The sequence below is a fragment of the Homo sapiens genome, chromosome 5 (genome assembly GCF_000001405.40).
Source record: "Homo sapiens chromosome 5, GRCh38.p14 Primary Assembly".
Classification (NCBI taxonomy): domain Eukaryota; kingdom Metazoa; phylum Chordata; class Mammalia; order Primates; family Hominidae; genus Homo; species Homo sapiens.
In genome coordinates, this window is record NC_000005.10 from 120,683,563 (window position 1) to 120,705,818 (window position 22,256).

A 22,256-nucleotide genomic window follows, 5' to 3' on the forward strand; every position below is an offset into this window, starting at 1 on the left:
CTAATTGTTCCCTGTTATTTTTAATTATTTTACTGCAGTTCACTATTATTTGTGCTCCTGAGTTTATTTATGTATAGTACACTTTTTAATTGTATGCTACTGTACATTTATTCCCAACCTCAGGTTCAGTAATGTCACATGACTAACCTGAAATCAACCACAGTGGAATTTTACACAAAACCTTTCAAATGAAGACTTCCTTACACTGCCAAGAGCCAGCTGATAAACACCAGTATTCCATTGAGTGAGACTATGCAGAATCCTGAAGTCTGTTTTCAGAATTGATCTTTATCACAGGAGAAATGAGCAGACATAGAAAGGATTTAAACAGGGAGTTAACAAAAGCACACTTCTGCTTCAAAAAAAAAAAAAACCAAAAAAGTCATTGAGACTACTGAAATGAAAAAAAGCAAAGTGGCTTTGGATAGTCCATACAGTAAATCATAGAGGCTCAGAGTAGGATGACAGAAGTGAAAATGGAGGAAAGTGAATGGATTTAAGATTCGTTATTTAGGAGCTAAAATAGAAGGACTTGTTCTCCTGACCAGAAGGTGAGTGAAAGGGTGATATCAAATAGAGTTTCTGGATTTCTGATTATTCAGATGTGAGGTTTGTGCTGTCATTTGCTAAAATAGAAAATACTAGAAGAAATTTGTTGAATTTACTATATTTGTTGAATGTTTTGAAACTGCTGAGTTTGCAGGCCTTCGAGACATCCAAAGACTGAGCCCTGGTGGCCTTTACCTGCCTGGTGGAATCAATCACTTAAGAGCCTCATGAGGAGGAAGTAAAGTCTATATCCTGTCCAACGTCTAGATGCTTTTGGTGTTTTCATTTTGAGCCCAATCCTGCCACCATGTGACAAAGAGCCAACTTCACAGTTGATTAAACTTAGACCTAAGTAAGAGAGGAGGGAAAAATCTCCATATGGAATAAATGTGATGGAAATGTGTGAAATGAAGGAACTGTCTCCTTACATAAACTATTTTTAAAACAATCCATAACTTTTCCATTCTCATATGTGTATAACAGTGCAGGTATGGTGGCTATGAGAATGGCCTCCAAGACCTCTGAATGCAGAGTGTAAATGACTGAGGACCCTGATGCTGTACTCTGAAAGTCAGCATTTGAGCAGTGACCACACTGCTGCTCCCAGCCAATGACTGAACAGGGCAGAGACAGTAAGGTTGCCCTGTTATGGGAGATGTCAGACTCCCCAGTATCCTTGCCAAAGTCTCCTTAGAACTGCATTGTCTAAGATACTTCCATTCAATGTTCCTATCTTCACAACCTCTCTCCTTAACGTGGGTTCCCACCTGTCTTATGCTCTGATGCCTCTGCCAGCCTTATCTGAGTCCCTGGCTCCTCTGCCTGGTACCTGTAGTAGCCCTTGACTGGTGTGACTTCCTGTCATTCACCCAGTGATAGTAAACATCTGCTTTGTATTAGTTTAGGGTCCTGGGCCCAGATAATTTTCTTTCCCTTTCTCCAAGGCGAGACAGCTTTTGCTTCTACCCTCTCTCAGAAGCAAAATATCTTTGCCTGTGTCTTACAGGTTGGAGGGTTTCTTGCTACTGCACCAGTAAAGGTTCTGCTTTATAAGGGAGAACAGTCTGAGAAGTAAATGGGGTTTTGTGCCTGTGTGCCCACCAGGGGCTCTCTTCCATCTCTTTCCTCCTCTCAGCATGAGAGGTCTGTGTAAAGGAGGCCATGAGTGAGTACAGATGATACTGTGTCTGAGACTCCCAAGGATTCTAAATTGTCATAATAGCACATATTCAACCTTTAATTAGTCATCAAAGTTTTAGTTGCTTTCTTCATTCACTCTGATGGTTGCTGCCTTTTTTTCCTGTGATTTTCTAAAGGTTGAACAGTTGATGTTTTCTGTATATCCTCAGAGGGCTTGAAACTCTCAACAGTTGAGTTCATTTGGTTGCCTTGTGAGGTCAAGTCTCTGTTGGTCTCAAGAAAATTATGATTTTGCAGATTATCTTTTTTTTTAATTTCAAGATTGGAAGCAATGTTCTCCTACAGCTTTCTGCATGTTAAGCAGAAGGGAAATGCCCTCTGATTATTTTTAAAAATCAGTTATATTCCTGCATCAGGTTTCATATTTTATGGGTGGGTATATCAGAGTCAGAAATAGAATGTATATATAAATCATATGTTATGTTCTAAGCATGTTAAATTATATTATCATACAGTTGGTCCTCTGTGTGATGGTCACTATTCTGTAAATTTATTGACTGAAAACATCAAGCAGCAATGGAATGTTCAGTTCAATATCAGTTAAGGCTTCCATAGCAGATTTCCCCTAGACAAAAATAAATTGTTTCTAGTATACTTTGTTTGGGTCATTCTTCAAAACAATTACCTTGTCCTTTCCACTAGGTGGTTGACCAGATTGACACCCTGACCTCTGACCTACAGCTGGAGGATGAGATGACTGACAGCTCCAAAACGGACACGCTGAATAGTAGCTCAAGTGGCACAACAGCCTCCAGCCTAGAGAAGATCAAAGTGCAGGCTAATGCACCGCTTATTAAACCCCCAGCACACCCGTCTGCTATCCTCACGGTCCTGAGAAAGCCAAACCCTCCACCACCTCCTCCAAGGTTGACACCTGTGAAGTGTGAAGACCCCAAAAGGGTGGTTCCAACTGCCAATCCTGTAAAAACCAATGGCACCCTTCTACGAAATGGAGGCTTACCAGGTGGACCTAACAAAATTCCAAATGGAGATATCTGCTGCATACCCAACAGTAACTTGGACAAGGCTCCAGTCCAGCTTCTGATGCATAGACCTGAAAAAGACAGATGTCCCCAGGCAGGGCCTCGAGAACGAGTTCGGTTTAATGAAAAAGTACAGTACCATGGCTATTGTCCTGACTGTGATACCCGGTATAACATAAAAAACAGGGAGGTCCACTTACACAGTGAACCTGTCCACCCACCGGGAAAGATTCCTCACCAAGGCCCTCCCCTCCCTCCTACACCCCATCTCCCTCCTTTCCCACTAGAAAATGGGGGAATGGGAATAAGCCACAGTAACAGCTTCCCCCCTATCAGACCTGCAACTGTGCCTCCTCCCACTGCACCAAAACCACAGAAGACGATCTTGAGGAAGTCAACCACTACAACCGTGTGATGTATGCCATTAAAAAAATTGTTTTTTTAATTTTCTATATTATAAACATAAAATAAGTAATGAGCACTTTCTACTCAAGCAATAAAAAGCCCAAATATATTAATCCTGCATTCAGCAAAGTGGCATAAAAATCACCTGGTAAGTATGCAGCACATTGCTTATATCCTGGGTATGCATTATTTTAAATGTTGTATCATTAAAAACCTCAGAATGATGAAAAATATGAATGATGCATTGTTTTTGCAATTGACCTATGACAAACTGTGAACCTGCAGATTTCACCTATTTTGATTTACTATAAGAGCTGGGATTTGATTCATTTTATTTATGCCTAAGTCATCTATGCATTAACATGTCATATTCTTAACTTTGATCTAATGCTTTTTACTAGGAAATTTTAATACTGAAGGACTATTTTATTATTTTTTTCTAAAGATGTTTGTCACTAGTTTTTCATTATTAAATGCTGAGGCCAATACCAAGAAGTTTATTTTCTATATTATACAATTATGAATTACATGCTCAGCTATATATGTAATAAAATACTTTGGTCTGTGGAAATATTGTTAAATCAATAAACAATAGTAAATAATGACAAAAGCAAATGTTCCTCAGAATTAAAATGAAGTAGTGGTTCATTTAATCTCACTTAACATTCCTCAATATGGGCAGCAAATCTGACAGAGTTTGGAGAAGTTACAGTGAGTGTATATCAGAATTTTCTAAATGAAATATCATATTCCACATCATAAATCAAAATCTACACACTACATATTTTATACTTCCATTTGGTACTTCAAGAGCCTTCTGTTGAACTCTCCCTATGTTGCCAAGCCCTCCTCATACTCAGCATTCTTCCAGGATGTACCCTAAACTATTACATTGAGGCTGTAGGGTGTTTTGCCTCCTGCATTAGCAAGCTCTCTGCCTCCCCAAGTGGACCCACATTTATAGGAGAATTATAGGGGGATATCTGAATGCTTCTGGTATCAGGATGTGTTCAGCATTTGGCGTAAGTTTTTCCCCCTCAGAGTTGAAAGATACCATGGGCCGTTGCTGTCTTCTAAAAGAAAGAGAAGAAATCTTTCCTTCTAACATCAAATAAAAATCCTCCTCTTCCGTCTTATCTACCAACTTAACAAACTTTACCCACCCATGGTCCAAATTTAACTTCCAATTTTATTAATTTCAACTGATGAGATATTTTGTCCTGGAGCTGGAAATGAGTTTCTCTCCCCTAGAGTTATGATGAGGACAGGTTCCTGAAAACAAAATTGGTTCATTAGTGGTAAGAGTAGAGGGAGTCATCTTTTGTGGAAATGTATTTATGGCATAACTTGATAAAGAATCCAATGACTTTTATGAATAGTTGGCTTTTGATCTCAAAACTGTAATCTTTGCACAGGCAGATAGCCTTCAATCGTATTTCTTTCCTGCCTTTTTCAAGCTAGATCATGGTAATTTGAATAGTGTTTTTGACAGCTTCCTATTAAAAATGATTATATATTTTAGATGGAATACAAAAAGAAAATAGGCCTTATTTTTTGAAGGAACAATCAAATGAGTAAAAAACAGAATGTCATGTTAAATATTTACTCAGCATGCGTTATGTTTCATAGGTGTTGGACATGAAGATAATGAAAGCAAAATAATCCGACTTACAATAATCAGAAAGTTACAAAACAGATCCATAATCAAGAAAGACCATAATCTAAAATTTGTTATCTGTATTATTAATATGTTTAATAGATATGAGCCAGGTAAATTATAGACTTATTAAATACCAAAATAATGTGTTCTTAACTTTTTAATGCATGCATTTAGTCTTGATATAAATAAAGCCAGGGTTTTATCATATTTCTAGGGTTAAATAATTACTTCCTTTCACATGTCTATCAAAAGCTAGACCGTTCAATATTATAAACAGTTGTAGAAGACATGCAGTTTTCTTTCTTCAACTCATCTTTCCTCTTCCACCAGTTACTGTGACCTAATAATCACCCTATAGTTTAAGACTGTGACACTTTTCGATGTCGGGGATCCAAGCCCGATCCCAAGGTAGAGCTTTCTAGCAACCACACATCACCTACAGAACAGATAATTTCCTTGCGATAAAGCAAGATGAATAAATTTAATCGTTCAAGCTGGTTGAGTAAGGATATTGAGCCAGACACCTAGAAACAATCTCAGTGTTCCAAATCCGTTTCTCTTTCTCTAAGTATAGGCAAAGCTTCTCCATGAAAGACCATATTTTTCTGTGTGATTGGTGACATATACCAAAACTACACTTGTTTTTATTCAACACATAAATAACTAACTAACTACTGGCTTAGAAATGTGAGTTAAATACCATCCCCCAAATGTTATAGTTTTGACCTTGCTAATAAGGACCTTACTCTTTTATGACAGTTTATTTATAATCAACATTTAATGTTAGATTACAGCACTCTTAGGACTTATTTTGAATTTATTTACTCCATGCTATTTCATTTTTTATTAATGCATGGAATATATTGTACCAATATGTTTTCTTGCCCAAGTGATAATATTGCCACATTCACTGGAACTTAGTTATATTTTTGCATATATACAAACTTGTAAAACAGAAAGCAATTAACATACAGCTTCATAATATTTGTCTGCAAACTTGTAATTAAAGTATCATAAGTGGCAGCACAGTTTTTGCAATCAGCCAACATTGCTTCAAAATGTAAATGTTGAAGTGCAAGCTCTACACATCATCCATTAAATCATCATAAAATATAGTACATATTTCCTCTTCCTAAAGACCATAAACAGAAATGTTTTCCTCAAATACTTGAAACTACGTTTTGTTAACAATGTGCATTTGAACACTTTTATTTACACATAGCGTTTATCACAGAGCCAGCCTTCATACTCCTTTGAAGGTGATGTTTCCACAAAATGTAAAATGGTAATACATTTCATTTTAAATAAAATAATGTGATAATATCCATACTGTAAAAATAGGACATATTTCAAAAGGCATGGTAATCATTAATTAAATTGGAATAAACAGGGTGTTTTGGTTTTTTTTTTTTACTTTAGACAAAGATTTTCCCATTTTTGCTGTGTTGTATTTCTACTGATGAAAGTTGAAAAGAAAATAAAAATTGCCCAAAGTTATCTTCCACCTACCAATAGTTATAGCAGTTATAAAGGGAAATGAAACACATTTTTAAGGTCATGCTTAAGCCAAATCTAAAAATATGTTCACAAAAATACAAGGGCATACAAAAACAGAAATTTTTCACTCTTCTGATTTGACGTTATTATATCCATTTCTTCCCTCATTCATTGAATAATATTGGAAGAAATGAATCTACTATCAGCAGAAGTGGTTTAATTAACCTAAATTATCCTGTGTTTGAATTATAACTGCATCCTAATTATTAAATGAATAAAGGAATATGATACAGTTGATATGGCTTTCTGTGGACAGATCAGCATGACTAGAGCAGCAGCTACTCACAGTCTCTGAAACTATACAAGACCTTGAATCTACAGAGTCTAACTATAGCTCTTTTTGGGTGCTCTGTGAAGAAAATCTGCGTAGTTCTGCATATAATTGCACAAGGAATGGTGTGATCAAGTCATGAATCACTGCCGTGACTGAATTTTTTTTCCATGGATTCTATGTGATAATGCGATGCTGAGTCTTGTAATTATCCTGAAGATTTCGTTTCTTGCTTCTAATTCTCTGTCCCCAGCACATTTTGCTATAGCCTATGTTCCAAGTTGTAGCAAAAGTTTACATTGTAATGTACTTTGATAAAATACGGATGATTTCTAACTGGGGAAATGATTTATGAGCAATAAATTTCTATAAAAAGCCATATCACGAAAGTAGATAAAGTGCACAGCATCAATTACTAGACATTTTCACAAAATCACATCACCTTTTCTGGGTCAATGTGTAACTGTGACAAGTTTAAATGTTTACAGTAAACATTTTGGAGTCTTCGAATTCTTCAAGTTACATGATTTTGAAATAATGGCAGATGTGATGCTGCAATTCGGGCACACAGTAGTGTTGAACATAAAACTGCAGTTAGCCTTATCTTGAATCAGGAGTAGCAATTATGTAGGCTGTCATTTCATTTGAAGCACTTGGATTTATCATTCTGATCTACTGGGGAAAAAAAAACCTGAAGTGTAACATAAAGAAGCTTTACAAATAACTCTCTCTTTAAAATACGGTTAAATCGACATGGGGTATGGAATTGTGTAAAGACACAGGGAAAATAAGGAGGAAATATTGCTTATAATTTATAACTTCTAGACTCATCAAATGTAGGTATATATATTCTTTCTCAAAGTTAACATATCTCTAATACTAATATATAACATAGGAATTAGTACACTTATTTAAAAATGTAGAAATTCCAGACCTCAGTTTCAATATTCTGCCAAAATTTGCCCCTTGGTAAGTGTTGGGCTGGCATTTTGTGCTGCCAGCACGACTCAGCATGCTTTTTCTCTCCACAATATCGCCACTTAATTGTGTTCTTCATAGCCCCGAACTTCGTAAATCTTTCCTTTATTCTGATCAGTTATTTTGACGCTTGAAAGGGGTTACCTAATGTTGTTTTGACATTCTTAATGTGTTTGATCTTTGCAGAATATGAAAGGGATTTCAGGCAATTTAGCTACCATCTAAAATGAATCAGCTGCTGAATAATGAAAGCTTCATTTTCTCATGTATTATACCAGTGGCTTCACCTTTTAGTTTTTTTTCTCTAAGTTCAAAGACTATTATTTTGGATCTTTTCCCTAAGAAGTTCTGATTCCACAGAATTATGCCATTGACCCTGACTCTGTCACTATCATACACTGGTGTTTCATTTGTGAATTTCATCTATTTAACATTGACCCCTAAAGCCAAAAGTAGCAATAGATCTGCTCCATGGAACCTCTAAAGCGTGCTTACAACTCTCTCTAATAAAAGCATTTCTATACTTTTGTTATTAGGCTATGGATATGATTTCCCTCTATTTCATAATATAATTGTCAATTATCCTAACCAATCAAAGGGATTTTAGACCAGCTAAATAAAACAATGTGTGCCTCAAGTGGGTCAGGGTTCATGGCATCAAGACACATGCTATCTAATCCTTATCAAGGGCTTACTTTATTCTAAACACTCTTCGAAGGGTTTTACGTGAATATAAAACATCATTTCCTCAAAACATCTTCTTTTCCTTCATAACGACCCAATATCTTGGACACAATTATTATCCACATTTTACATATGAGAAAACTGTGGTATTGGAAACTGGCTACCCATGATCTTAGGGCCAGTAAGTGGTCAAGTGGAATTATAAGTCAGGCAGTCTGCCTCCACAATCCATATTCTTCACCATCTTTCAGCACCACCTAAAAACATCGATCCTGCATTGTGTACAGGTAATCTGTAGAGCTGAACATCATCGTTTTCTGGAATTTGCCTTAGAAGGCTGTTGGGAGATATAAGGTAGAAAAATAAACGTATTTCTGTGTTAGCCAAGATAGACTAGGCTGTATGCTATGGTAACAAATAACCCCAGTATCTCAAAAACATCTGAGTTCTTTGTTACGAACTCTGTCAGAGTTCACCCTGAGCCTGGGAGAATCTTTAGAGCAGGAGTCTCACAAGTAGTCATTAAAAAGTAAAGACTGTGTTGACTCTGGGAATCCAACATTCTCATTGAGGATCATCACAACATAGAAAGGGGCAACTGGAGAATCTTACTGGCGCTTTTACATCAGTTAAGATTTATGCACCAAAGATTGGTGCTTTGACGCCCTTGCATGTGTCATTGGCCAAAACTAGTCACATGGTCTTGTTTGTAGTCCCCTTGCCCAGAAATGGAAGGAGATGTGCATATGGGTGTGGGCCCAAGTCATACCCATCACAGTTTCAAAGGAGTAATTTTTTAGTGTTTGAATAATTTGAATATTTTATAGACTCTTGAAGACTTTGTTTTCTTTTTATATTACCTAATGTTCACTTAACCTCACCATAAACTAGGATGCCATTTTATTTTAAACACAGATAGAAATGAGTCTACTATAACCCTGCTAAAAGCTTAGTGGGGGGAATTAACAACATTTAATATGATGAGGATTGAGTTTTATTACAACTTTTAACAACCATATTTGAATTCTGTCTGAGAATAGTCACCAACAGGCATTTTTAATTTAAACACTTTAGAATTGCATACTAAATTTTCAGTTGTCAAGTTTCTGAATAAATAATCTTTCAATTATAATTAAGTTCCTAAATGAATTGTCCCCCAAATATTACATAAACCTAAATTGAAGATACATACTTATCTCTCCAGAATAGCCAAATAAATATCATGACTTACTACAGAAATTTAGGACTGTGATGATGTAAATTATGATATATGTATATATAATATTAATCTAGAGGACAATGTATTTGGATAAAAATATCAACTCGAAACAAGAAAGCCCGTGTTTGAGTCTCAGTCCTTCTAGATCTTAAGTGCTCCTGATAGAGCACTTACTCAACCAGGTTTGAGATTTGGTTTAAAACGTAGATAATGGTGCCACTCTTTCCACTTAATGGGGATGTTGAGTCATTAAGTATGTATCCTGAGATCACCTGGACTCCTCCATTACAATGTAATAAACAATATCAACAGAAGGATGCTACAATAACATAAACCCCAGATGAATTTCTAAGGCAATGGGACTACAAGCTTCAGTTCTTTCCTAGACAGCAATGCTGAAATGCAAAATGGATGAGGCAAAACGGATATGCAATTTCAGAATTCAACAAGTCTGCAGTCTTCAGAGTTACTGAATAGACAGAGCCACTAAATTATTCTACTTCATTCTTTGTATAGGTCAGAAACGTCTCCCAAACTTTTTTATAATATCTTCTAGATTGGTGCTAACTAGACTATGTATGGTCTCATAGGAAATTACTATTTACTCAATGTTTTGCTTTAAATTTTACTGTGTTATTTGCATGGGATAAAAGCTCTTCTGCTAACACAGAGTGGGTTACACACATAGTTAAGGTCAGTTGTATCTTCTGTTTCCTTTATTTACTCAAACTTCAATTCTTTCTCAACTCATGTCTTTCTTGTAGTAACATTTATAGAAATGATATGTATTACCCCTGCTTAATTTTATCTAATCCTTCACAAGGTCGTGGTCCTTGCTAAAAGCTTAGTACTCATTCCTCAAATTACATGGTTTCACACATTTTATTTCTAAATATTTATTTCTCTGGTAACATTAATTATCTTCTATTACCACCCAGTTTCCTAACAATTTCGCCTGTATTCCTCCTTTGAAGGACACCACCTGCCAACATGTTGTTATGAGGTCCTAATTACTTAATGAATGTGAAAATACTAAGAGTAAAACCTTGAACAAATACAAATCATTCTTATTAATTTGTGACACTTCTTACCAAATTACTCGTGTTCTTTGTTAATATGGTGGATTGTTTTTTATTTGCCTTAGTTGATGCTAATGATATTGTTTTCATCTTATTTATAAAGTAATCATTTTACTTAGATATTTTTGTAGTTTATATTATCAGGTAAGCCTAATAATTCTCTTAGAACCTTACCAATTCATCTGTAGAAGTCTCATTTTTGATGGATTACATTTTGTGAATTAGAAAGTCGGCAAATGAGCATGATAGAATTCTGGCCGGGCGCGGTGGCTCACGCCTGTAATCCCAGCACTTTGGGAGACCGAGGCGGGCGGATCACGAGGTCAGGAGATCGAGACCATCCTGGCTAACACGGTGAAACCCCGTCTGTACTAAAAATACAAAAAATTAGCCGGGCGAGGTGGCGGGCGCCTGTAGTCCCAGCTACTCGGGAGGCTGAGGCAGGAGAATGGCGTGAACCCCAGGGGGCGGAGCTTGCAGTGAGCCGAGATTGCGCCACTGCACTCCAGCCTGGGCGACAGCGAGACTCCGTCTCAAAAAAAAAAAAAAAAGAATTCTAAGAAAACTGAAACAAAAAGCATGGTTTAATAAACTGTTTTGACAAGTGTAGCCTAGTTTTAATTACAATAACTTGTAATAGCACATGAATAAATGTATTTAGAGTATAATTCGTGAAACTAAAGTCTAATACACTAGTCATCTTTACATCTTCTAAAAATATTCATACAAGAATAAACCATCTTTTGTTTTAAAAAAATATCTAGGTTTGTGGTTTAAAACTTAATTTTTCAGTGATATTTAAAAAATTCTGACCAAGCATAAAAGTTTGTGATATATTTGAATACATATTTCAGTGAAGTGCATTTCAAAAGGACTGAGAACTGGAGTCCTATGGTTACAGTGATTTATGGTTTCATACATTCACCAATATGAATATTGCCAATAAAAGTCCAAAAATATCATCTGGCACTATTATTTTCTACCCGTTCAAACCACCCTTTATGACAAAAATCGAGTATTTGGATTGATTTATTTTATCTTTTTTTAAAAACTTTATAGTTGTATCAAATAATGACTATATCTTATGTGATATTGAAAATACAGTACTGAAGTTCTGGGCTGTATAAAACAGATTTTTTTTCTAAGTGGACTTATCAGTTATTAGAGAATTAATATTAAAATTAGCTCCTCCATATGACTTCTCAATAATTTTTCTGATTACCTAAACTCCAAATTTCAGCTATAGTTAGCTTTTCAATCTCTCTCATTTTTTTAAATCTAAGTAATTTTAACTTTTTGCCATGTCTTCCTTTGTAAAGTCATTCCCAATGACTGTCCTCAGATGGGCTTTTATCATCTCCCTTCTGAAAGTTGCATTTCCCACCTGCCTGCTCACTTGACCTCTTGCCTTAGTTTCTACTCCATCCTGCCAATACCCAATGGAGAAACTTTCCTCTCGCCATTTCATCTCAATCCAAAAATTTTGATGGTTTAGGACTATCTGCTATTTAAAATTCTTACGTCTGGTCTTGGCAGTCCTAACAAAAACACTTCAAAGTCTATCTTAATAATCTCCCAATCTAGCGACCCCAATACTGAGAAGGCTGCTCCAGCTGAGTAGTCTAATTACTGTTCCTCTGACATGCCTTGCTGCACCTTTTCCTGGATTTATGGCCCAGCCTGAAATAACTTCGTTTTGTAAGCCTTGCTCTGTAGATTTTCACCATTTATCTGAATCTTATCATAACTTGTAAAAAAAAATCTTATTCCAACATATATATGTGTGTGTGTATATATATATATATATAAAACCGGCCATGCACGGTGGCTCATGCCTGTAACCCCAGCACGTTGGGAGGCCAAGGTGGGTGGATCACGAGGTCAGGAGCTCGAGACCAGCCTGACAAAGATGGTGAAACTGCGTCTTTACTAAAAATAAAAAAAATTAGCCGGACGTAGTGGCGAGCGCCTGTAGTCCCAACTACTCAGGAGGCTGAGGCAGGAGGATAGTGTGAACCCAGGAGGTGGAGGTTGCAGTGAGCTGAGATCGTGCCACTGCACTCCAGCCTGAGTGACAGAGTGAGGCTCCATCTCAAAAAACAAAAACAAAAAACCCACAGTGGTATAATGAGTACAACACAGGTAAAAATTCACAAACAAAACAAAATATATATAAAAAAATTAGTAATTAAATATGCTTTTGTAGTGTGCATCTTTTTCTTAAATTAGCAGTATTATTAAAGGCAGTACTTACCATACCTACGTTTACTAACAAGAAACATATAGTTTCTTGTATTCAAGTTGTATTCAAGTTGAAGAAATTGTATAGTGTATTCAAGTTGAAGAAATTTAAAATGATTAAGTTGAATTCCTTCACTTTATTGACCTCTTAATAGGCTGAATAAACTTGTGAAACCACATGCACAGAAATGTAAGTTTCCTCATTTGAGATAAAATATATTCCTATTTCTTCCAACAAAGTGGTTCTCTAGAGAAGATGGACTGCTACAAAGTGGTGTGTTAGTATCTGAATCTTGGTTCTGAAGAGGTAAGCAAAAAAATTTGAGCTAATGATGTAAAATGCTGTAACCAACAAAAAGAAGGAGAGGAAGTGAAAAATAAACAAAATTAAGAAATATACACTCAACAGAAAAATATGTGTGTGAAGTAATGCATATGTTAAATAGCTCAATGTAGCCATTCCACAATGTATACATATTTCAAAACATGTTATACTTGACAAATACATATAAATGTTTTATCTGTTTAAATAGTTTATGAAAGAAATAAGCAATTAATATATTGTGCTTAAAATTTGACCTGAACCAAGAAAATAAAAAGTTAGGCCCTTAAATTAATGTATGAAGATTTAGTTACACTTTTATCACTTAGATTATAATATTTATGTTGACTTTTTTAAAACAAGTTTGAAAGGAAAACAAATTTGAAGATATTCTCTACTTTGAGTGACTTTATTTGGAGAAAAAGTTGCTTTTTCCTCCCAGGAAGCATATAGCTGATAAGAGGGATTTCTGAGAGACAGGTCCCTTGTATAAATGTTCCTCTGAGGATGAGGCTTTTAGTTAGGTTTATATTTAGTCATTCAATTTCATACATTTAAAGATCCATCTCACGCTAAACTCCGTCCCAATCACTATGGTGATGTAGATGGGACAAGAATGAGTACTCCCTGCTGGCAAATGATCTCCGTGTCAGACACGAAGATAAAAATATAAGAGATAAATACAATTTGCAACTGGAATTGTACAGATGGCATTCTCCTTAAACCATCCTAAACCTGTCCACTTACTGGAATAAACACACAAAGTTACATGAGTTTTCTTCCCAGTGAGAAAATTCTAATAGTTTTAGTATGGTTATGTTCAGCATTTACATTTTCATGCGCGTCCATGTGAAGAGACCACCAAACAGGCTTTGTGTGAGCAACATGGCTGTTTATTTCACCTGGGTGCAGGCGGGCTGAGTCCGAAAAGAGAGTCAGCGAAGGGAGATAAGGGTGGGGCCGTTTTATAGGATTTGGGTAGGTAAAGGAAAATTACAGTCAAAGGGGGTTTGTTCTCTGGCGGGCAGGAGTGGGGGTCGCAAGGTGCTCAGTGGGGGTGCTTTTTGAGCCAGGATGAGCCAGGAAAAGGACTTTCACAAGGTAATGTCATCACTTAAGGCAAGGACCTTAAGTTAGTCAAAACTTAAGACAAACTTAAGACAAAAGAAGTATTTACACTTCTTTTGTGGTGGAATGTCATCAGTTAAGGTGGGGCAGGGCATATTCACTTCTTTTGTGATTCTTCAGTTACTTCAGGCCATCTGGGCGTATACGTGCAAGTCACAGGGGATGCGATGGCTTGGCTTGGACTCAGAGGCCCGACATTCCTGCCTTCTTATATTAATAAGAAAAATAAAACAAAATAGTGTTGAATTGTTGGGGCGGCGAAAACTTTTTGGGGGTGGTATGGAGAGACAGAGAATGGCCGATGTTTCTCAGGGCTGCTTCGAGCAGGGTGAGGGGTGGCGTGGGAACCTAGAGTGGGAGAGATTAAGCTGAAGGAAGATTTTGTGGTAAGGGGTGATACTGTGGGGTCGTTAGAAGAAACTTTGTCATGTAGAATGATTGGTGATGGCCTGGATACAGTTTTGTATGAATTGAAAAACTAAATGGAATAAGAGAAGAAAAACAGGTATAAAAGGTCTAAGAATTGGGAGGACCCAGGACATCTGATTAGAGAGTGCCTAAGGGGTTTCAGCAAAGTCCTGCCAGCAAAGATTATTTATTTACTTCAAGAGTTTAGAGTGGCGGTTTGGGGATAGCACCAGGAGATATCAGCTGTGATGGCTTGGAGAAACAGTGTAAACAAGAGCAGGGCATGTATGAGTAGTTGAGAACCGTGAATAGGAGTATGACTAGACAGAAGATAGTAGGGATGACAAGTTTTTTGGGGCACAGTCTAAGTTGGTCTGGTGTCTGGAATGAGACTGGGGCCTAATAAAAAGGAGCGTCTATACAGGAACTTAAATGGGGTGTACCTTGTAGCATTCTGAGGACAGGCCTGAATTCTGAGATGCGAAAGTGGTAAAAGTATTGTCCAGTCCTTTTTAAGTTGGTGGCTGAGCTTGGTGAGGTGTGTTTTTAAAAGACCTTTAGTCCGTTCTACTTTTCTTGAAGATGGAGGACCGTAAAGGATATAAAGTTTTCACTGAATACTAAGAGCCTGAAAAACTGCTTGGCTGATTTGACTAATAAAGGCTGGTCTGTTATCAGACTGTACAGAGGTGGGAAGGCTAAACTGAGGAATTATGTCTGACAGAAGGGAAGAAATGACTGTGGTGGCCTTCTCAGACCCTGTAGGAAAGGCCTTTACTTATTCAGTGAAAGTGTCTATTCAGACTAAGAGGTATTTTAGTTCCCTGACTCGGGACATGTTGAGTAAAGCTAATCTGCCAGTCCTGGGTGGGGGCAAATCCTCGAGCTTGATGTGTAGGGAAGGGAGAGGGCCTGAATTATCCCTGAGGAGTAGTAGAATAGCAGATGGAACACTGAGAAGTTATTTCCTTGAGGATAGATTTCCACGATGGAAAGGAAATGAGAGGTTCTAAGAGGCGGGCTAGTGGCTTGTACTATAGCATAACCTGTCTTTGCTGGTGTGTGGCGATTAGGCCTGGTGGAACCGCCGTCAATAAATCAAGCGTGATCAGGGTGAGGAACAGGAAAGAAGGAAATTTGGGGAAATGGGGTGAATGTCAGGTGGATCAGAGAGATACAGTCATGGGGGTCAGGTGTGGTATCAGTAATAATGTGGGAGGCCGGATTCAAGTCTGGGCCAGGAACAACGGTAATTGTGGGAGAGTCAAGAAAAAGTGAGTATAGCTGAAGGAGCCAGGAAGCAGAAAGTATATGCATCAGGTATGAGGAAGAAAATAGATTTTGGAAGTTATGAGAACTGTAGAGAGTGAGTTGAGCATAGTTTGTGACTTTGAGGGCCTCTATAAGTATTAAAGCAGTGGCAGCCGCTGCACGCAGACATGAGGGCTAGGCTAAAACAGTAAGGTCAAGTTGGACAGAAAGGCTACAGGGTGTGGTCCTGGCTCTTGTGTAAGAATTCTGACCACACTAACCATGCCTAGGAAGGAAAGGAGTTGTTGTTTTGTAGAAGGTGCTGGGGTTTGAGAGATCAGTCAGACAAGATTGGCAGGGAGAGCATGTGTGTTTTTATGAGAATTATGCCGAGATAGGTAACAGATGAGGAAGAAACTTGGGCTTGATTGAAGTAATGGGGGCTGTCTGTGAAGCTTTGCAGCAGTACAGCCTAGGTAATTTGCTGAGCTTGATGGGTGTCAGGGTCAGTCCTAGTGAAAGCGAAGAGAGGCTGGGATGAAGGGTACAAAGCAATAGTAAAGAAAGCATGTTTGAGACCTAGAACAGAATAATGGGTTGTAGAGGCAGGTATTGAGGATAGGAGAGTATATGGGTTTGGCACCACGGGGTGGATAGGCAAAACAATTTGGTTGATAAGGCGCAGATCCTGAACTAACTTGTAAGGCTTGTCTGGTTTTAGGACAGGTAAAATGGGGGCATTGTCAGGAGAGTTTATAGGCTTTAAAAGGCCATGCTGTAGCAGGCGAGTGATAACAGGCTTTAAATCTTTTTAAAGCGTGCTGCGGGATGGGATATTGGCCTTGAGTGGGGTAAGGGTGATTAGGTTTTAATGAGATGGTGAGGGGTGCATGATCGGTCGCCAAGGAGGGAGTAGAGGTATCTCATACTTGTGGGTTAAGGTGGGGGGATACAAGAGGAGGATGCAAAGGAGGCTTTAGATTGTGAAGAAGGGTGGCAATGAGATATAGCTGTAGTCCAGGAATAGTCAGGGAAGCAGATAATTTAGTTAAAGTGTCTCAGCCTAATAAGGGAACTGGGCAGGTGGGGATAACTAAAAAGGAGTGCTTAAAAGAGTATTGTCCAAGTTGGCACCAGAGTTGGGGAGTTTTAAGAGGTTTAGAAGCCTGGCCATCAATACCCACAACAGTTATGGAGGCAAGGGAAACAGGCCCTTGAAAAGAAAGTAATGTGGAGTGGGTAGCCTCCGTGCTGATTAAGAAGGGGACGGGCTTGCCTTCCACTGTGAGAGTTACCCAAAGCTCGGCGTCGGTGATGGTCTAGGGGGCTTCCGAGGCGATCGGGCAGTGTCAGTCTTCAGCCGCTAAGCCGAGAAGATCTGGGAAGGAGTTGGTCAGAGAGCCTTGGGCCAGAGTTCCAGGGGCTCTGGGAGTGGCTGCCAGGTGAGTTGAACAGTCCAATTTTCAGTGGGGTCTCACACAGATGGGACACAGCTTAGGAGGAATCCCGGGCTGCGGGCATTCCTTGGCCCAGTGGCCAGATTTCTGGCACATGTAGCAAGCTCCTGTGGGAGGAGGTTCTGGAGGAACGCCTGGCCGCTGCAGTTCAGGCATTTGGAAGTTCTTGTGTGCTGGAGATGTGGCTGGGGTTTGTCTCACAGTGGAGGCAAGGAATTGCAACTTTTTTCTATTATTGTACACCTTGAAGGCGAGGTTAATTAAATCCTGTTGTGGGGTTTGAGGGCCAGAATTTAATTTTTGGAGTTTTATTTAATGTCGGGAGCAGATTGGGTAACAAAACGTATTTTGAGAATAAGATGGCCTTTTGACCTTTTAGGGTCTAGGGCTGTAAAGTGTCTCAGGGTTGCTGCCAAACAAGTCATGAACTGGGCTGGATTTTTATATTTGATAAAAAAGATCCTAAACGCTATCCGATTTGGGATAAAGAAAAAGGAGCATTAACCTTGACTATGCATTTAGCTCCAGCCACCTTTTTAAGAGTAAATTGCTGGGCAGGAGGGGGAGGGCTAGTCACGGAACGAAACTGAAAGCCGGACCAGGTGTGAGGAGGGGAGGTGATAAAAAGATTATAGGGTGGAGGAGCAGAGGCTGAGGAAGAATTGGGATCTAGCTCGGCCTGGCAAGGAGCAGCCTGGAGAGGAAAGGAGAGGTCAGATGGGTCTGTAGAAAAGGAAGATTAGAAAGACTCAGCAACGCTTGGGGTTGGTACTGAGGGGATAGACAGGAGGGAAAGAAGGAAGATTTGGGACGAGTTGCACTGGGCACAGAGACTAGGAAGGGACTGATGTGTAAAAGAATGCCTGGACGTCAGGCACCTCAGACCGTTTGCCTATTTCATGACAAGAATTATTTAGATCTTGCAGGATGGAAAAATTCAAAGTGCCATTTTCTGGCTATTTGGAACGACTGTCGAATTTGTACTGGGGTCAAGCGGCATTGCAGAAGAAAATAAGGCATTTAGGTTTTAGGTCAGGTGTGAATGGAAGAGGTTTTAAGTTTTTGAGAACACAGGCCAAGGGAGTAGAAGAAGGAATGGAGGGTGAAAGATTGCCCATAGTGAGGGAAGCAAGCCTAGAGAAAAGAGAGAGCAGAGAAATGGAGGGAAGGGGTTCAGGGGTTCTTACCTTCCAGAAAAGTGGGAAAAGGGGTTGGGGTGCAGAGATAAGAGGTTGGGGTGTGGAAATAAGGGATGGGGCTCAGAAATAAGGGGTCGGGACACAGAAATAAGGGGTCGGGGCACGGAAATAAGGGGTCGGGGCATGGAAATAAGGGATTGGGGCGCCGAGATAAGAGGTCGGGGCATGGAAATAAGGGATTGGGGCGCAGAGATACGAGGTTGGGGTACTTGCCCCTCCTGTAGAAAAGTGGGACTTGCCGCTAAGAGTGAAGGAGAAGGGGTTGAGGGGTACTTGCCCTTCCCCTAGAAAAGCAGAGAAGGGGTAGAGACAAGGAGAGAAGGGGTTGGGGTACTTGCCCCTTCCCCAGAAAAGCGGGACTTGCTGTTAAGGGTGAAGGACCAAGGCAGGCGTCCCTGCGTGGTCTGACACCTTTGAAACATGGGTGAATAATCAGAGAGGTGTCCGTGAAATGATTAAACACCAAGGGAAGGCTGCCTTCCCAGTCCGTGACCGGCGCCGGAGTTTTGGGTCCACGGATAAAACGTGTCTTCTTTGTCTCTCCCAGAAAATGAAAGGAATTGAAATTAAGAGAAGGGAGAGGTTGAAGAGTGGAAAGGAGAAAGTAGTGGAGGGACAGTGAGAGAGGTTGGAGAAGAGAGTAAGAAGAGGCCGCTTACCTGATTTAAAATTGGTGAGATCTTCCTTGGGCTGGTCGGTCTGAGGACCTGAGGTTGTAGGTGGATCTTTCTCAGGGAGCAAAGAACAGGAGGACAGGGGATTGATCTCCCAAGGGAGGTCCCCCGATCCGAGTCACGGCACTAAATTTCATGCACGTCCGTGTGAAGAGACCACCAAACAGGCTTTGTGTGAGCAACATGGCTGTTTATTTCACCTGGGTGCAGGCGGGCTGAGTCCGAAAAGAGAGTCAGCGAAGGGAGATAAGGGTGGGGCCATTTTATAGGATTTGGGTCGGTAAAGGAAAATTACAGTCAAAGGGGGTTTGTTCTCTGGCGGGCAGGAGTGGGGGTCGCAAGGTGCTCAGTGGGGGTGCCTTTTGAGCCAGGATGAGCCAGGAAAAGGATTTTCACAAGGTAATGTCATCACTTAAGGCAAGGACTAGCCATTTACACTTCTTTTGTGGTGGAATGTTATCAGTTAAGGTGGGGCAAAGTGTATTCACTTCTTTTGTGATTCTCCAGTTACTTCAGGCCATCTGGGCGTATACGTGCAAGTCACAGGGGATGCGATGGCTTGGCTTGGGCTCAGAGGCCTGACATACATCAAATTTATTTTCGAAGCCTAGTGAACTGAAGCCTCATGTTGTTTCATTTCCTGGGGAGTGCTATCCTGTGCATTGAATACACAGCATTGTTTCTTTTGTGTTTGATGCAATCACTTTGGTAAAGATACAGCTGCCATCCCAATATGTATTTGTTTACTGAATTCATAGAATGAACAATCAGATGTAAAGTGCTTTATTGATTATCTTTTCCTATTCTCATGGCTTTGTCTATTGCTTTTATTTAATGTGTTGTTCCTTGCAATGTTTGAAGAGATTGGAGTGAGATTTGAAAATATTATTTTTATGTCTCTGGTTCTCTGTGTGAGAGTTTTCTTATTGATGGTTAAAAAGTGTGACATTTACTTAGCTTGCAGTTTTAAAGGTTAGTCCTCATAGATTTCCTAATCCATGAAATAAGGAAAGTTATTCTGGATTTCTTATAATTTAAGGCCCACATAAATAGCTGTCGATTATGTAATATACCCCAATTCTTTGTACACAGAGATGAAATTGGATTTGTCAGTATGTACTGTCTCTAGGTATTTTGGGAGCTTTTCTATAAAGATTTAGATACTGATGATACAGCTGGACTTAGGTAGACAAATAGAATTTGGGGCTTTTGTTTCTTTGTTTTTCCATTGTCAAAATTCAAACACAGAAGTTAACATAAGAAAGAAGCTTTCTCTTAAGAGAACACAGGCTCCTTTCAAAACTCTGTAGAAAACAGCTTTTTAAAAAAGGGGTATGGGAAACAAAAATTTTGTTGGTGGTGGAGAAGGACAAAAGACACTTCTAGATTCTGAGCAGATAGTGCTATGGAAAGCTGAGTTCCCAACCAATCTGGAATCTTGGAAATGGGCAGCGATGGATGGAGGGGAGGCCTGGTTTCTATGAGTGTGGGAAACTGACATTATTGGCTTGAGACTGTTTTCTTTTTTTCCCTCCTTTCCTGGCCTAAGGATGTGTTGCAAGCCTGAAAGAATGCAGGGTTTCTATATAAGTTTTGTACTATTTGCACCAAAGAGAACATGATTTTATTTTCCAGATGGAGAGATGAGCAAATCTAAGAATATATGTTCTAAAAATTCTTAGCATTTTATGGTATAGAAACTAGAGCACCAATGTACTCAAGAGTATTTTAAAACTCATGAGCCTTATTTCTTTGCTTTCCGTTATATACCAATATGAATCATAATCCTCCCTAAACATCAGAATCACTTGGGAAGCTTCACACCCTGATCCCCAACCTGGACCAATTAAATCAGAATCTCTTTACAGTGCGCTCAGACATCAGTAGGCTTCAAATGAACCAGGTGATTCTAGTATATCAGTAGAATTAACAATAATTAAATAATACAATACAGAGAATGGCACATCTGTTATTATTTTATCCTAATTGAGACAGTATATAGTCAGTACTTATGAAGCCTATTTACGCATTTTTTCACCATATGTGTAAGAGACAAGAATGTACTTAGAAATTTATATTTCAAAAAGTTTACGTGGAGCATTAAAACGTTTTTTTAATTTAATGCAGTATTAAGAAGTAATTCCTGAGCTAGAGATCCATTTAAGATTAGTTTAGAGTGGGAAATATATGACTTCCATGCATTACTTTAACACTTTAAGTTTGTGTGATTCACTGGCTCAATGTCCATTGTAAAAAAAAAAGGAGAGTACATTTCAACAATAAATTGTTAAAAAGAGCAAAGTTTTAATTGTTTGCATTCAAAGAATATTGCTTAGGTATCAGTAATATGCTTAGGTATGAGTAATTCTAAAGTGATTATGTATATATAATGTTATGTTAATTATATGAAAATTATTCATTTATAGCTTTTATTCAGATTTTCTGATGGTGCAGTTAAGCTAAACTATCCAATAAAATATCCCAACATTGCCAGAAATGTTATATTCTTCATGATCTCCCTCAAATTTTTTTCTATATATCATGTTGACAAATTTTAGTAAACATATATATCAGTATTTTCCACATGTGCTTTTAAAAAAGTTTATCTGTTCATCTTTTAAACTTTTATTCTAAGGAAATAGAAGTCAATTTTCAGTGTTCAGGAAAATGATATTCTTCAACATCAAATATCCAAATGATATTTTCTGTTCATTATGTTTTTTCTTTATAATCAGCTTATATTTTCCACACTAGCTTTAACAAAATTTAAATTTTTATTCTTGTGTTTTTGTGTTCTTTAGCTAAGACAATAAAAGTCATTTTCTGACATTCAGGATATAAGTTAATAACAACAACATTATAATCATTATGATCACTATGTATATTTGAATGTACATTTAATATGAAAGATAGTAAGTGTAAACAATTCACAATGCTCTTCTCTGACTCTGTAGTAATTATTGGTAGAAATCAATATTGTCAGTTAATAAA

General features: G+C 38.5%; 1 protein-coding gene across 9 annotated transcripts in view, besides 3 other annotated features; it reads left to right on the top strand.

Moving 5' to 3' along the window:
• The window catches only part of PRR16 (proline rich 16), a 330,317-nt gene that overhangs the window by 219,285 nt on the left and 88,776 nt on the right, over positions 1–22,256 (top strand). For 4 of the 9 annotated variants that reach the window (NM_001308088.1, XM_011543452.3, XM_047417290.1 and 1 more), the window contains 1 exon segment: positions 2,392–3,770. In NM_001308088.1, coding sequence (NP_001295017.1) covers positions 2,443–3,147 — 705 coding nt within the window. In that variant the 5' untranslated portion in view covers positions 2,392–2,442 and the 3' untranslated portion in view covers positions 3,148–3,770. 9 annotated transcript variants of the gene reach the window in all.
• Positions 14,016–14,801: an enhancer, noted in NCBI's record as "OCT4-NANOG-H3K27ac hESC enhancer chr5:120033273-120034058 (GRCh37/hg19 assembly coordinates)". NCBI's record gives its function as "activates a minimal SCP1, AML or CMV promoter by ChIP-STARR-seq in naive and primed H9 embryonic stem cells {active_cell/tissue: H9 hESC(naive and primed)}" and the evidence as "EXISTENCE:reporter gene assay evidence [ECO:0000049][PMID:30033119]".
• Positions 19,355–20,193: an enhancer, noted in NCBI's record as "OCT4-NANOG-H3K27ac-H3K4me1 hESC enhancer chr5:120038612-120039450 (GRCh37/hg19 assembly coordinates)". NCBI's record gives its function as "activates a minimal SCP1, AML or CMV promoter by ChIP-STARR-seq in naive and primed H9 embryonic stem cells {active_cell/tissue: H9 hESC(naive and primed)}" and the evidence as "EXISTENCE:reporter gene assay evidence [ECO:0000049][PMID:30033119]".
• Positions 20,245–20,779: an enhancer, noted in NCBI's record as "NANOG hESC enhancer chr5:120039502-120040036 (GRCh37/hg19 assembly coordinates)". NCBI's record gives its function as "activates a minimal SCP1, AML or CMV promoter by ChIP-STARR-seq in naive H9 embryonic stem cells {active_cell/tissue: H9 hESC(naive)}" and the evidence as "EXISTENCE:reporter gene assay evidence [ECO:0000049][PMID:30033119]".